At 34.9% G+C, this 17,304-nt stretch overlaps 1 protein-coding gene across 18 annotated transcripts in view; it reads left to right on the top strand.

The window, feature by feature from the left end:
* Positions 1-17,304, top strand: part of SPATA6 (spermatogenesis associated 6) — a 210,816-nt gene that overhangs the window by 3,465 nt on the left and 190,047 nt on the right. For 11 of the 18 annotated variants that reach the window (XM_047422913.1, XM_047422901.1, XM_006710699.4 and 8 more), the window contains exons 2-3: positions 15,609-15,746; positions 17,140-17,188. In XM_047422913.1, the coding sequence (XP_047278869.1) occupies positions 15,609-15,746; positions 17,140-17,188 (187 nt within the window). Of the gene's footprint in view, positions 1-15,608; positions 15,747-17,139; positions 17,189-17,304 lie in introns of those variants that run through there. The other 7 variants (XM_047422902.1, XM_047422919.1, XM_017001510.2 and 4 more) reach the window with 5 other exon arrangements.

The raw sequence follows: 17,304 nt of genomic DNA, 5'->3' as shown, positions 1-17,304 counted from the left end.
AATATAGAGCAGTTCTATTTTTTTTTTATTCCCACAATGTTCCTTTTTTTTCCTCAGTTGGTTTTGGTCAATTCATACACTCATGTCACCATCACCCAGATCAAGATTTGGAACACTTCCATCACCCCTCGCAATTCCCTTGTTCCCCTTTCAGGTCCATTCCAGACAGAACTGCTTTCCAGAGAGAAATAAGTATAGGAGATGATGGAAATGTTAATTAGCTTGAATTAATCATTTCACAGTGTACATACCTGTAGCAAAACATCACTTTGTACAGTGTAAATATATGTAAGTTTTGACAAAAAAGAATGGATAAATATATTGTAGTATACACATACAATAGAATACTACTCCACAATTCAAAGGTACTACTGATAGAACCAACAACATGGATGAATCTCAAGAACATGCTGAGCAAAAGAAGTCAGATACTAAATATCACATACTATGTGGCTCCAATGTGAAGTTTAAGTACTGGCAAAGTAATCCATAGTGATAGAAATCGGAATAGTGTACACACACACCCCCTCACACACACACCTACCACATTTTCTTTATCCATTCATTCGTTGATGGACACTTAGGTTGCTTCCATATCATGAGTATGGTGAATAATGCAGCAATGAATATGAGAGTGCAGATCTCTTCCATATACTAATTTCCTTTGGATACATACCCAGAAGTGAGATTGCTGGATTATATGGTAGTTCTATTTTTTAATTATTTGAGGAAATTTTTCTTTTTTTAAATTATTTGAGGAAATATGCTTTTTGTAATGGCTCTTCTAATTTACATTTCTACCAACGGTGTACAAGGGTTCCCCTTTCTCCACATTCTTTCCAACACTTACAATTTTTTGAATTTATTATAGTAGTCGTTCTAACATGTGCGAGGGCATATCTTATTATATTTTTGATTTGCATTTCCCTGATGATTAGAGATGGTAAGCACCTTTTCATACACCTGTTGGCCATTTGAGATATCTAGTCAGACCTCTTGCCCATTTTTAAAATTAGGTTTTTTGTTTTCTTGCTATTGAGTTTGGGTCCTTACATATTTTGGATATTAACCGCTTATCAGATTTTCTCCATTCTGTATGTTTACTGTTAGTGGTTTCCTTTGCTGTGTAGAAGCTTTTTACTCTGATGCTATCCATTCTCTTGTTGATGGTTGTTTGGGTTGTTGCCAGGTTATGGTTATTATTGGATAATACTATTATGAATATTCATTCTTGTAAAAATCTTTTTGTGGACATTACCTTTTGAACATACTTGGCTCGGTTACAGAATAGTTCATGTTGTATTATTGCCTGATTTTTTCTTCTTTTTGTGGTGACATTCAGTTTTTTCCCAATTACTATAAACTGGAAACTAGGTGTTATCTTTGATTGCCTGTTGAAAGTTGCAATCTCATTCTTCTCTACCCCTTCCATGCTTACTTTTTGCTGAAGTTTTGTGTTAGTGGTAATCTCATCTGTGTAATACTTTAGTAATATGAAAGTAAAAACATAGAAAGGTTTGGATGTGTCACACAACATTTTATGTTGCCCAACAGAGCCATATGACATGAGAGAAAATATATTGCTAAGAGGAAAGTGACTTTTCTCAATGAGTCTTTGGAGAATGACATAGTATGCTAAGTAACTTGTTTTTAAAGAGCATCAAAAGAATTATATTTTCCATCACTTACATTTTAAATCTTTAAAACTTTTGTCTTTGATGGGAAGAAGTATTATTGCTGCTTTATCTCTTTACCTTCTTTTTATATTTAATATTTCAATTTTTATGAGCTTATTTGGGAAAATGGAAGATATTGGAGGTAAAGTAATAGTGTCAATTTGGGATTGCATGTAATTCTCACTTCATCTCATTACCTAACTGAAACTAATGATAGCACTGTGGCAGACAGATCTGGCTTCTTTCAGTCACTACTCATCTGAATATTTATCTTTGTGATCCTTATCCAGGTTACTGTAGGTAGTGTCTCAGTCACAGTTAAGCCACAGTTGGTGGTAAATTTCGCTGGAATATAGACTTTAAAAAATTTTAACTATAAAATAGTTCAAATTTATAGAAAAAAAAAACTGAATCCTTTGATGCCCCACCCCCCATTTAACAAATGATAAATTTTACATGTTTGCTGCAGATTTTTGTTTTTAAGAAATATAATGTTGCATGTAGGTGAGGCCTCCTCTGTACCTTTTACCTCTTCCTGACCACTTTTTCCTCCCTACCTTCCTTAAAATAACTAATATCCTGAAGTTGTAGTGTATTGTTTGTTCAGATTTTTGTACTTATTACTAAGTATTTGTGTATGTCTGTGTATAACCTATGCTGTAGTTTTGTTTTTAAATTTTGCACAAATAGTATCTTACTTGTATGTATCCTTCTGCAACCTGCTTTTTCTGATTCACTGTTTTTGAGATTTTTCAGTGTTGATTCTTGCAGGTCTAGTTCATTTCCTTCATTAGTATAAAATGGTATATGTTTATATTAACAGTGATATAATTTTTGTTCCTCTCTTAATGGACTTTTTATTAAATACTAGTAGTTAATGCTTTTTATTATTCAAAACAATGTTTCAATGAATATATTTGCACATATTTCCTAGTATCATTGTGTCTGTTGTTCTCAGGGGTGTATTGTGTGCCCTAGGGAGCATTTTACAAATTGACTAGACTACTTTTGTTTGTCACAGTGGTTGGGGAGTCCTGTGGTATTAATTGTTCGGTATCCTGCATGACTTGAATGTCTCATTGAATATGTAGATGAAAAACCTGTTTATAATTACTGGAGGTTAATAACATAATAGCAGTTGATAATCAATTATCTGTTTATTTATAAACACAAAGTCTTTTTAAAAGGTTTTTAAAACGCATTTTACAGTAATGCAATTGCCATGTAAATTGAGGAAAGAGTACACTTTGTTGGGTTTGGTGCTCTGCTAAGAGTTTACTTTTTTTGGAAAATCATGGCACCAGAGGCAATGCTGCTTGTGGTGTTTGAGTTGCTAGTGTGGGATGTTTATCATCTCACGTTTGAAACTGCCCATTTCACATAGATTCTGTGTATAGGTGCAAATATATCTTCCAGTGTAGTCTTGCCCAAGCATTTACATGTTAGAAATATGTATTTTCTTATAAAGTATTTCTGTATTTTTTCAAACTTTAATTAGGATATTGGTTTATTGTTTAGTTATATGTATAGGTAAGTTGAAAATATTTTCTGTAAAAGGATGATTTTGGGTCTTATAGAATGGTGACCCAGTGCTCTAGGGAGTAGATCTAGAAATGGAACTATTGAGTCTCAGGGTATCCGGTTAGTTTCCTAGGACTGTCATAACAAATTATCACAAACGTAGTTGCTTAAAACAACAGAAATTTATTCCCTCACATTTCTGGAGGCCAGAGTACAAAATAAAAGTGTCAGCAGAACGGTGCTCCTTTCAAAAGCTTTAGGGGAGAATCTTTCCTGCCTCTTCTAGTTTTTGATGGTTCCAGGCATTCCTTGGATTGTGGCTGCTTAACTCCAATCTTGGATCCTAGAGGTTTCCTTTTCTGTGACTACCAATATCCTTTGTCCTTTAAAAGTGTATTCTTGTTTTCTTCTTCTTGTTAAATATATTTTGGATACTAAACCTTTATTGGTTATGTGTAATGGAATTTTCAAAGATCGTCTAGTTGAAGTTTATATTTTACTTTGTTTTTGCTCTTTTTAGTACTGCATGTTTTTCATTTTCTAATTTTTTCGTTTCTGGTAAACAAAGAATGCTATTGATTTTTAAAATGATTATTTTACTTGACAAACTTGTATATATTTATTGCGTTATTGATTTTTTAAATTAAGTTTTTTATGGAACTATAGCATATATTCATAAAGTACACAAATCGTAAATGTATAATCACCAATAATTAGAATATTATCAGAACCCCAGATTGCTCCATTGGGCTGTCTCCCTCCCGCCACTTCACCTACCCCTGTTCCTCTCCCAAAGGTAACCACATCTTGACTTCTCTTACAATATATTTTGAAGTTTTGAAATCTAGCTATATCTATCTATGATCTGTCTATTTTGTATGGTCTGAATTCTTTTATGTCTAACCAATTTGTGGGAGTTTATCCTTGTGGTTTATGAGGCAATAGCCCTTTTTTCCCTTCTTAAATGAATATAACACTATTTATTCTTCCTATTGTTGATGGACATTCTCATTGTTTCTAGTTTGGGGATATTACAAATTGTGCTCCTATGAGCATTCTTGTATATATCTTTGTTGCACATTTTATATTTTAATTTTGGATGCAACATTAAATAACATGAAATAACATTATTTCAATAGTTGTATTTTTTATGTGGAAAATGACGTTGTTTGAAAATAGACAGTTTTGACTTTTGCAGTACAATCCTTTGTTTTGTTTTGTTTTGTTTTGTTTGCCTTGTCTTTATGTTGATGGCTAGAATTTCTAGTATAGTGTTTAATGTTAGGGATAACAAAGTAGGTATCTTTGTCGTTTTTTCTAATTTTAAATTATGCTTCTGAAGTCTCACCATCATTAGACCAAATCCTATGAAATCGCTGATAATGGGCCATTTTTTTGGCTTAAAAAAACCTCAGCCATTTCAAATGTAGTTGAACCTAATAGAATATTGGCTGTAGGGTTTTCATTTATTGAGTTAGTGCAGTTCCCTTCTATTCTAATTTTAAAAAATCCTGAATGTTGAGTTATTTGGGATGTTTTTTTTTAATCCAGTGAAATTATTATATAATAATGCTTTCATAGTCTGTAAAAAAATGACACTTTTTGATGTTGAACTATTCCTATTCCTGTAATAAGTTCTTTTAAGTCAGGATGTACAGTTTTTACTCTATTTTGCTGGATTTGGTTGGCTAATTTTTTATTTAGGATCTTTTATTTGTATTTGTAGAGAGATTTTAGCTTTATGAGTCAACTACTTTTTTTCACTTATTTTTAAAACATTTATTTTGAAATATTTCAGACATATAGGAAGTTATAGAGTAACATTTAATGAACACCTGTGTACCCATCCAGGTGAAGCATCCTGTAAATCTCTGCCTAATAAAATCCCTTTTTCCTTCTTCTTTTTGGCCAATCGGTATCCTGAATTTTGTATTTACCACTTCTCTGCAATTTGCAATATTTTTTCTCATTGTAATATCTGCCTTTAAGGCACTTGATTTGCTTCCAGTTGCTGTTTAACTGGCATCTCAAAGCTATTGATAATGTTTTAAAATCATTTGGCTCTAAATATTTTATAATTTTTATTATGATTTCTACTTTAGCTTATGAACTATCTAGGATTTGTTTTAATTCCAAGATGCATAAGATTTACGTGTGTGTAACACTCTCCCATACTCATACTCTCCCCCCTACCTATACACATACATACCTACACATATACATATATATTATCTTTTATTGTGGTATTTTAATGAATTGCATTGGGGTCATGTATTAGGGTTCTCCAGAAAAACAGAACCAATAGGATATACTATATAGTTATTTAATAGGGAATTTATTATGGGGATTGGCTCACTTGATGACGGCTTTGCAGTCCCATGATATGCTGCCTGCAAGCTGTCTGCAAGCTGCAGAACCAGGGAAGCTTGGTGATGTAATTCAATCTGAGTACAAAGGCCTGAGAACCAGGTGTAAGTCTTGGAGTCTGAGGGGTTGAGAACCTGCAGTTCTGTTATCCCAGGGCAGGAAAAGATGGATGTCCGAGCTCAAGGAGAGAGAGCACATTTGCCCTTAATCTGACCTTTTGTTCTATCCTTGCACTCAACAGATGGTATAATCCCTGCCCACATTGGTGAGGGTGGTCTTTGTTACTCAATCTGCTGATTCAAATACTAATCTCTTATGGAAACATCCTCACAGACACACCAAGAAATAATGTTTACCAGCTACTCACGTATCCCTTAACCCAGTGAAGTAGATACATAAAATTAACCATCATAGCTAGTGAACAAGGTCTCTATGTTATTATGTTTGTTATTTCCTTTGTGTCCTGATACTTATCCAATTGTTGTAAATGCTCTCTACTTGCTTAAAATAATATATAATCTCATTTGTTGGATGTATGGCTCTATCTGTCATTATCACACCAATCTTACTTACTCTGAAATTCAATTCCATATTAAATTTTTTGTCTGCATGATCTACCCATTTGTAATGGAGAGGTATTAAAATCTTCACTATGATTATGTATTTTCACTTTATCCTTGATGTATTTCAGTACACTGTGATGTATAGAGCTGTGGATTTATTTGTTTATTCTGTTTTGCACTGGGTGTATGCTTTCCACTTCAGAATTTAAGGTTTTCTGTAGTTCTTGAAAATTCTTAGCTATCATATTATTTTTTATTTTTTGTTATTATTGTACTTTAAGTTTTAGGGTACATGTGCACAATGGGCCGGTTTGTTACATATGTATACATGTGCCATGCTGGTGTGCTGCACCCATTAACTCGTCATTTAGCATTAGGTATGTCTCCTAATGCTATCCCTCCCCGCTCCCCCCACCCCACAACAGTCCCCAGAGTGTGATGTTCCCCTTCCTGTGTCCATGTGTTCTCATTGTTCAATTCCCATCTATGAGTGAGAACATGCGGTGTTTGGTTTTTTGTCCTTGCGATAGTTTACTGAGAATGATGATTTCCAATTTCATCCATGTCCCTACAAAGGACATGAACTCATCATTTTTTATGGCTGCATAGTATGCCACGGTGTATATGTGCCACATTTTCTTAATCCAGTCTGTCACTGTTGGACATTTGGGTTGGTTCCAAGTCTGTGCTATTGTGAATAGTGCCGCAATAAACATACGTGTGCATGTGTCTTTACAGCAGCATGGTTTATAGTCCTTTGGGTATATACCCAGTAATGGGATGGCTGGGTCAAATGGTATTTCTAGTTCTAGATCCCTGAGGAATCGCCACACTGACATCCACAATGGTTGAACTAGTTTACAGTCCCACCAACAGTGTAAAAGTGTTCTTATTTCTCCACATCCTCTGTAGCACCTGTTGTTTCCTGACTTTTTAATGATTGCCATTCTAACTGGTGTGAGATGGTATCTCATTGTGGTTTTGATTTGCATTTCTCTGATGGCCAGAGGAAAGGATTCCCTATTTAATAAATGGTGCTGGGAAAATTGGCTAGCCATATGTAGAAAGCTGAAACTGGATCCCTTCCTTACAGCTTATACAAAAATTAATTCAAGATGGATTAAAGACTTAAATGTTAGACCTAAAACCATAAAAACCCTAGAAGAAAACCTAGGCATTACCATTCAGGACATAGGCATGGGCAAGGACTTTATGTCTAAAACACCAAAAGCAATGGCAACAAAAGCCAAAATTGACAAATGGGATCTAATTAAACTAAAGAGCTTCTGCACAGCAAAAGAAACTACCATCAGAGTAAACAGGCAACCTACAAAACGGGAGAAAATTTTCGCAACCTACTCATCTGACAAAGGGCTAATATCCAGAATCTACAATGAACTCAAACAAATTTACAAGAAAAAAACAAACAACCCCATCAAAAAGTGGGCAAAGGATATGAACAGACACTTCTCAAAAGAAGACATTTATGTAGCCAAAAGACACATGAAAAAAGCTATCATATTTTTGAGTATTGTTTTTCTGCTGTTCTCTCCTGTCTTACCTTCTGGCAGTACTATTAGATATGTATTGGAACTTTTATCTATTCTCAGTGTTTCTTAAGAGCTTTATTTATTATTCTTTAAATTTATCAGGCAGCCCTTGAACCAGAACAGGTTCAGAGAGGCTCCTAAATGCTTTTTTTTTAACATTAAAAAAAAAACTTATTGTTTTTAGATAATTCTTCAATATTAAATTTGTACTTAATAATTTAAAATTTATCTCCTGTTCTGGGATTTTTAACTTAATTGACTAAATTTTCCAAAATTCTCATTTAGTCTCTCTTTTTAAATATCTGCCAATTTTCATTCTTACCGGTATATATTGACTTTATATTTTGTGACTGTGAAATTTCCCTATTATTTCTAGTAGCACATTTTGCAATAGGTCACAACTAAGATGTTTGAAAATACATTGTTTTACTTCTTCCTTTTCAAACTGTGTGCCTTTTATTTCTTTCATTTCCAAATATCTTTTTCTTGTCCTTCTGCACTGGCTGGAACCTATGGTGCATTGTGGTATAGAGGTGTTGAGAGTGGACATTCTTAACTTTTTGCTGATATTAGGGGCAATTATTCGGTCTTTCAGTGTCAAGTATGTTTGATATCAGATTTAGGCTTTTGCATAGATATTCTTTTTCAGTTGAGGAAATTTCCTTCTGAGTTTGCTGAGAACATTTATTATGAATGAGGCTTAAATTTTGTCAAATGCTTTTTTTCCAAACAGAAAATTAATTAAAAGAATTTCGAAGATTTAATGCTGTAATATACCTTTTAGAAGTGATTTAATAAGCCTGGTGCAGTGGCACATGCTTGTAATCCCAGTGCTTTGTGAGGCTGCGGTGGGAGGATCACTTGAGCCTAGGAGTTTGAGACCAGTTTGGGCAACATAGTGAGACCCCATCTCTGAAAAAAAAAATTAGGCAGGCATGGTGGCACCTGCTTGTAGTCTTAGCCACTTGGGAGGTTGAGGTGAGAGGATTCCTGGAGCCCAGGAGTTTGAGGCTGCAGTGAGCTATGATCATGCCACTGCATTCTAGCCTGGGCAACAGAGCAACACCTCATATCTTAAAAAAAAAATGACTTAATTACATCCCACAAATTTTGATACGTTGTGTTTTCACTTTTATTCAGTTGGAAGTTTTTTTCTAATTTGTCTTATAATTTCTTCTTTGACCTATGAGTGATTTAGGACCCTGTTATTTAATTTCCAAATATTTAGGTATTTTTTTCAGATATTTTCCCATTACTGATTTCTAGTTTAATTTCATTCTGGTTAGAGAATATACTCTGCATGATTTTTTAAAAAAATTTATGTCCTTTTATGTTGATTGAGACTTGTTTTATGACTCACAGTATCATCTATCATGGTGAATGTTTTTATGTGCCCTTGGAAAAAAATACGTGTATCCTTCTGTTGTTGGATGAAGTACTCTGTAAATGTCATTTAGGTCAAATTAGTAAATATTGCTTATATCTTCTATATCTTTAATGATTACTTGACTGCTTATTTTTGTTAGTTATTGAAAGGGAAGTACTGAAATTCAAATGTGTAATTTTTTGCTTTATTTACTTTGACACTGTATAATTAGATGCTATTATATTTAATTTAATTTGATTGTGTTAGTAAATCAAACTTTTAATCAATATGAAATGTTCCACTTTATCCTTGGTGATTTTTCTCTTTCTGAAGTCTACTTTATGTCATATTAACATAACTACCCCAGCTTTTATGATTAGTAATTAGATGATAGATCTTTTCCCTCATTTCACTTTTATTAGTCTTTATCTTTTTGAAGTTGCAATATTATTCACATCCCATGAAACGTTCTTTTTTTTTTTTTTTTTTTTTGATATGGAGTCTCGCAGTGTTGCCTAGGCTGGTGTGCAGTGGTGCGATCTTGTCTCACTGCGACCACCACCTCCTGGGTTCAAGCAGTTCTCCTGCCTCAGCCTCCCGAGTAGCTAGGATTACAGGTGCCTGCCACCACGCCCAGTTAATTTTTTCTATTTTTAGTAGAGATGGGTTTTCACTATGTTGGCCAGGCTGGTCTCAAACTCCGGACCTCATGATCCACCTGCCTCATCCTCCCAAAGTGCTGGGATTACAGGTGTGAGCCACCAGGCCTGACTGAAATGTTCCCTTTTAAAGTGTACAATTTAGTAAATTTTAGTATATTCACAAAGTTGTGCAAAAATCACTACTAATTTCAGAACATTTTCATCACCATATAAAAAAATCCTGTATCTGTTAGTAGTCATTCCCTATTATCCCTCTCCCACCAGCCCCTGGATCTAATTCCCGTATCTGTAGATTTGCCTATACTGGACATTTCTATAAATGGAATCAAACAATATGTGGCCTTTTGTATCTTACTTTTTTTTACTTAGCATAATGCTTTTAAGGTTCATCCCTCTTGTAGCACGTATCAGTACTTTCTTTCTTTTTATGGTGAATAATATTTCATTGTATGGACATACCATATTTTGCCTATCCATTAATCAGTTTGTTAGAGTAGACAGCCAAAAATGAGCAGACAGGGTTGCCTCTGGGAAAAGAAGTCCTGGATACTCTGCCCACTGACAGTCAGCAAAAAAGACAGCAAAAAGAGTGGCTACATCTGGCCTTGTGCTTTTAAAACTTTTTTCACTTAACATAATGCTTTTAAGGTTCATCCATGTTGTAGCACGTAATAGTAGTTTATTTCTTTTTATGGCCAAAAAATAGTTGGATCATAGTTTTGAATCCATTCTGCCAATCTATACCTTTTGGTTGGAGTGTTTAGTCAATTTATCTTTAATGTAACCACAGATAAGATTTACTTGTGTCATTTTGTCTTTTGTTTTCTGTGACTATTTTGTCTATTCTTCCACTATTGCTTTTTTTGTGTTAATTATTTTTTAGTGTGCCACTTACATTTTCTTTTTTTTAAGCTGTAGTTTTAAAGTTACTTTCTTAGTGCTTGTCTGGGGTTTACAATTAGCATCTTAATTTATAATCTAGTATGGATTAATACTAACTTATTTTCACTATTACAGAAAACCTTTCTTCTATTTTGTTCTATTCTCCCTCCCTTCCTTTATATTATTGTCATACAAATTACATTTTTATAAATATAAGTACACCAGCACAGTTTTATAATTATTGCTTTCTGTAATTGTCTTGAAATAAAATAGGAGAAATAAGAGAAAAATGCATTTACACTGTTTTTATATTTATATAGTTTCATTTACTGGTGCTCTTTTTTCTTCTTAATGTGGATATGAGCCTATGTCTAGTATCCTTTCAGTTCAACCTGAAAGATTCTCTTTAAGTATTTTTGATAGGGAAGTTCTGCTAGTGATGAGCTATCTCATTTGTTTATTTGGGAATCACTTAGTTTTACTTCCTTTTTGAAAGAAAATTTTTGTGGGTATTGAATTATTGTTTGAAAGTTTTCTTCTGTTAGCACTTTGAGTCAGTTATCACTCTGCCTACTGGCTTCATGTTTCTGATGAGAAATCAGCCGTTAATCTTACTGAAGATTATTGATGCCTGCTGAATCACTTCTATCTTGCTGTTTTCAAGATTCTCTCTTCTTGAGAGTTCATTGGATTATCTTCTTTTTTTCTTTTTTTCTTTTTTGAGATGGAGTCTTGCTCTGTTGCCCAGGCTGGAGTGCAGTGGTGTGATCTTGTCTCACTGCAACCTCTGCCTCCCTGGTTCAAGCAATTCTTCTGCCTCAGCCTCTTGAGTAGCTGGGATTACAGGCATGTGCCACCATGCCCAGCTAATTTTTGTGTTTTTAGTAGAGATGGGGTTTCGCCATGTTGGCCAAGCTGGTCTCGAACTCCTGACCTCAGGAGATCCACTCATGTGGGCCTCCCAGAGTGCTGGGATTCCAGGCGTGAGCCACCATGCCTGGATAGATTATCTTCTGTTGAAAGTTTATTAGGTGCACAGGTTGGAGTTCTGTGATCTTTTAAAAAGTTTTAAATTTTTTTTTTCTGTAGAGAGAGGCTCTCACTATGTTGCCCAGGCTGGTCTTGAACTCCTGGCCTCAAGTTATCCTCCCTTGATTTCTTTGATCTTGTTGGATTCTTTTATTGGTTTTCTTTAAACATCAGAAGATTTCATATATTATTTCTTGTGATATCCTTTCTGAGGCTCTCATTCTATTTATTTTACTGTGCTTGGTGGTATCCCACAGGTCTGAAACTCTGTTCATTTTTCCTTCTGTTAATCAGACTGGATAATTTTAATTGACGTATTTTCAGGTTCCCTTATTCTTTTTCCGACAGCTCATATCTCCTCTTGAACTTCTCTAGTGAATTTTTAATTTAATTTTGGCACTTTTTTAACTCTAGAATTTTTATTTGGTTCTGTTAAAAATTTTTATCTCTTTATTGATATTTCTTATTTGATGAGACAGCATTGCCATACTTTCATTTAGATCATTAGACAAGATTTCCTTTAGTTCTTTGTATTATTTACAATAGATTTCAGATCTTTGTTTAGTAAGCCCAACTTCTGGGCTTCCTCAGGGACAGTTTTTATTGACTGCTCTTTTTTTTTTCCCCCATGTATAGGCTGTGCTTTCTATTTCTTTGCATGTTGCAATTTTTGTTGAAAATTAGACTTTTTAAATTATGTGGGACTGTGTAAATCAGAGCTCCCTCCCTTTCTCCTGAATTTGTTATTGTCTGGTATTATTGTTTTTTGTTTGTTTAATTAATTTCCTGAACTAACTTTGTAAAATCTGTAATCTTTGTCATGTGTAGCCACTGATGGCTTTGCTCAATTAGCTTTATGTTCTCCTAAAGAGTGGCCTTCTATTTCCTTAAATGTTTGAACCAAGAGGTCTTTCAGCCATTGTCAGGGTTCTCTGTGTATATGTTGGGGTATGCTTTCTGTGCCCTGGTGCCATTTGCAACTCTGCCTTAGCCTTCACTTCCAACTTTCTCAAAGCCCCAAGGTCAGCCAGAGGTGAAGGGTTATGGCTTTCTCAGGTCATTTCTCGGCACATGAACAGCTTTGCACATGTGCATGCTCTTCTAAATTGCCAAGTCTATGTCATAGCTTGCCAAGGTGATTTAAGTCAACCACCTTGCTAGGTATTTTCTGTTTGTCCCATCTGATTTCTTTTAACCTCCCTTTTCTGGCTTTCTTTTTGGAAAGCTGCTGGGTGTTTTTTTAAGAGATAGCAGAATTTGTAGAATTGTAGATGAAAAAAACAATGCCTTCTTGCATATGTTACAAATTGGATAGAGCTTCAGCAGTTTCCAATGAGGACAATTAGAGCAGTACTGTCCAGAAAAAATATAAGAGCCTCAAATTTGAGGCAAGGATGTAATGTTAAATTTTCTAATAGCTACATTTAAAAAAGTTAAAGTAGTAGGCCAGGTGCGGTGGCTCATGCCTGTAATCCCAGCACTTTGGGAGGCCGACATGGGCAGATCACAAGGTCAGGAGATTGAGACCGTCCTGGCTAACACGGTGAAACCCCGTCTCCATTAAAAATACAAAAAATTAGCCTGGTGTGGTGGCGGGTGCCTGTAGTCCCAGCTACTTGAGGCTGAGGTAGGAGAATGGCGGGAACCTGGGAGGCGGAGCTTGCAGTGAGCCTAGACCGTGCCACTGTACTGCAGCCTGGACGACAGACAGAGTGAGACACTGTCTCAAAAAAAAAAAAAAAGTTAAAGAGGTAGTCAAAAGTAATAATATGTTTTATTTAAATCAATGTATTCAAAATATCCTTTCAACATGCAATTAATATAACAGTTATTAATGAAATGTTTTACAGATTTTTTTTACTGAGTCTTAAAAACCCATTTCATATTTTACACTTACAGCCCTTCTTAAGTTAGACTAGTTGTATCTCTGGGCGTAATTGGCTAGTGCCTACCATTTTGGACAGCACAGATTTAGAGGGAATCTAAGACGATTTTAGTTTTAATGAGGCAAAGCAAGAAATGAACCTTATGGACAGAATGAGATTTGTTGAGGACCCTGGTTTTAATGATCAATTGGGAATATATTAGAGCAAAAGGGGAACATAGAGTAAGAGGGAGATGGAGTCAAATAGCTGGCAGAGAAGATAATTAGTATGTACAAAAGGATGTGAAGTATTTGTCATTTATTCAACGTAATAGTGTGGTAAGATGGCAGGTTATATGGTTTTTAATCTAATAATTGTGATAGTATTAATGAATGTTCTGTCAAGCACTGCTGTAAGCACTTTGAATATATTAACTTATTTAATCTTATGACTCATTTACTTTGTGACCTTAAGTTAGTAGATCACTTTAACTTTCCCGGGGCTCCGTTTATTTCACATATAAAAAACTCAAAGCTAGACTAGATAATCTCTATGCTTTTTCTTAATACTGAAAGTCTGTATCTTTGGATACAATGATGAGGAAAAGAAAATTTCTGTCCTCAGGAAATTTATGATCAAGAGGTGATATGTACCCTCTTAATTAAAATGCATGTACACAATGATTTGTACCATAATTACAAAATGCTACAGAAATTTAAGACATACTTACTTGCATATAGTAAGTTCATAATAAATGTTTGAATTAGGTTGACTTGAATAATGGTGAATCAAGAGAAATTTGGTGTAGGAGATGTTCATTGATGTATGTCTTGGCAGGTGGTAGGAATAAATGAGGAGGAGATGGAATGGAGTAGTAAGGAGTTACTGCTCCTTACGTTGTATTATATTATGTTACATTATACAATGATGAAAGAACATGAGTCAAGAAAAGAGAACAATAAAAAATATACTTTGAATGTGTTGTTGGGAGTGTTGGGTAATATTATATTGTACTCAAATCTTAGAGAGCCTTTAATATCCTGCTGAGGGTGTAGTTGATCACTGGCAATAGAATATGGTAGGTACTGGAGAGACTGTGCTATGTGTTATTTAATAACCACACATTTTTTTGCCTATATTTCCTGTCAATCACAATGAGGATAGTTAAGTGCAATTTAATATGCACTTAACTATATAAGTGCACTCCAGCCTGGGTGACAGAGCGAGACCCCATCTAAAAAAAAAAAAAAAGAATATATGATATTTTACTTATGACTGTTTCTTGGTACTTCTTTCTGTCTTTTTTTTCCCCCTAAAACTGCAGCTTTTGGTTAATTATGACCAATTGTGTTTCTTACTTTTTAATTTCCTTCTTTCTCACTTTTTTTCCTTCCTTCTCACCTTCCTTCCTTCCCTTTTTCCTTCTTTCTTTTCTACTTTTTCTCCAGAACCTACTCTATTCTGTGGACTGTTCTAGGCACTGAGGACACATGGTAAACAAGGGAAAATCCTCCCCTCTGGGAGCTTTCGTTGTAATGGGGGAAACAGACAGTTAAGGTATATGCACTTAACTATATAACTAAATAAGTTAAAGTAAAAAGTACTTTATTGGGCTAGAAACTTTCATTTTATTAGCTTTGAAACTTTGTCATATGACTTTTGATGAAGGTATCTATGGACTGTGATTTTGGGTGATAGAAGTCAGATTTGTGGTTTTTATCAGCGTTTTTTAAAATTCTATAATATAGTGTTTTATTTCTGCTGAGTGTTAATCCTTTGTGATTAAATGATGCTGAATAACTTTATGTCAGCATTCAGCATAAAGTGGGAGCCTCAGGCTGACTGTTTAAAACTATTAGTGTCTGTCCCAAGAGCTAGTACATAGAACTTCAAATGTGGCACAAGTAACCAAATGGAAAATTGTAGTTTTCTCAGAGGGATGGAAGTTATAAAAGCATTTCATTTAACTCTGTAAACACTAGTCTCTGTCTCTCTCTCTTTATTTGTGAGTATTTTTTATTAGATTACCAGACTAATGTTTTTATGTAATATTTGATAAGTTATTTTAGTAGGATAGTTCAGGGAATTTATAAAGCAGTTACATCCATTTTATCTAATTTCTTTCAGGTAACTTGCCCAGGAGTCGTGCTTAAAGACAAAGAGGACATCTATCTTAGCATCTGTGTGTTTGGCCAATACAAAAAGACACAATGTGTCCCAGCCACTTTTCCCCTGGTCTTCAATGCCAGAATGGTGTTTGAAAAGGTGAGTTCAAATATCAGATCAAGTATTAACAAACAAAACATCAAAGTGGTTCCAATTTTTGAATAAAAGCCTATAACACAAATTATTACTGCTGACTGTGTGCTTTGGTTTAATTCAAAAGGACATTTGTAACCTAAGCCTGGAAGCTTGAAAATTTGCATTAAATATGCATTGAATCAGTTGCCTTTTTTCCCTTGATTAGCTTATTCCTAAAATTGATTTAGTGGACTTTATGTAACATAGAATCTTGATTTCTAAATAATGATTTTCATTAAAAGAGAGCAAAGTCATTAATAGATAAGAATATATCAGCCGTGTGCGGTGGCTCATGCCTGCAATCCCAGCACTTTGGGAGGCCGAGGCGGGTGGATCACCTGAGGTCAGGAGTTCGAGACCAGTCTGGTCAACATGGGGAAACCCTGTCTGTTCTAAAAATACAAAAAATAGCCAGCTGTGGTGGCACCTGCCTATAATCCCACTTACTCGGGAGGCTGAGGCAGGAGAATTGCTTGAACCTGGGAGGTGGAGGTTGTAGTGAGAGGAGATAGCGCCACTGCACTCCAGCCTGGGTGACAGAACAAGACTCCATCTAAAAAAAAAAAAAAAGAATATATGATATTTTACTTATGACTGTTTCTTGGTACTTCTTCCTATAAGTCTTTGCAGCTTTTGGTTAATTATGACCAATTGTGTTTCTTACTTTTTAATTTCCTTCTTTCTCACTTTCTTTCCTTCCTTCTCGCCTTCCTTCCTTCCCTTTTTCCGTCTTTCTTTTCTTCTTTTTCTCCAGAACCTACTCTATTCTGTGGACTTTTCTAGGCACTGAGGACACATGGTAAACAAGGGAAAATCCTCCCCTCTGGGAGCTTTCATTGTAATGGGGGAAACAGACAATAACCAAATAAATATGTGAATAATTTTAGATAGTGGTAAGTGCATGAAGAGAATAATGGGCGGGTAAGGGGATTTGGGGGATTGTCTATTTTAAAAGGTGGTCAGAGAAGGCAATAACATTTAAGCTGAGCCTGAATTATGAGACTATATTACTCTTATTTGAAGGTCTAGGAGAAGAGCATTTTAAGCAGAGGAAAAACAAATATAAAGGCTTGTAGTTGAAAATAATCTTGATGGGTTGGAGGAACACCAAGAAGGCCTGGTATGATCATGGTAACAAGAGGAAGAATGCTAGCAGAGGAAGTTGGAGACGGAGGCAGCACAAGCTATAAAGGTTATTTGTAGAATCTTTTGTAGTGATGGGAAGGAGAGAGGAACTGACAGTTCTCAATAATGTCAAAAGTTTCTGTGATTGTGAAAGGAATGATATTTTGGGGATGAAGGGAGAAAAAAAATATATATCTTCCTTCCTGCCTCTCCCTGTATCGTCTCACTATAGGTGTTCCCGGACGCAGTAGATCCTGGAGATGTGGTTACACAGCTTGAATGTAAGTTTTTTAACTTTTTAATTCCTGATTCTAAGACATTTTAGGATTTATTATCCTTATGATCTTTAATCTTGGGTTAAATAAAAGTTTAAAAGGGGTTAGTAGAACTTTAAAAA

Source organism: Homo sapiens, chromosome 1 (assembly GCF_000001405.40).
Source record: "Homo sapiens chromosome 1, GRCh38.p14 Primary Assembly".
Taxonomy (NCBI): domain Eukaryota; kingdom Metazoa; phylum Chordata; class Mammalia; order Primates; family Hominidae; genus Homo; species Homo sapiens.
This window is presented reverse-complemented; position numbering and strand designations above follow the sequence as displayed.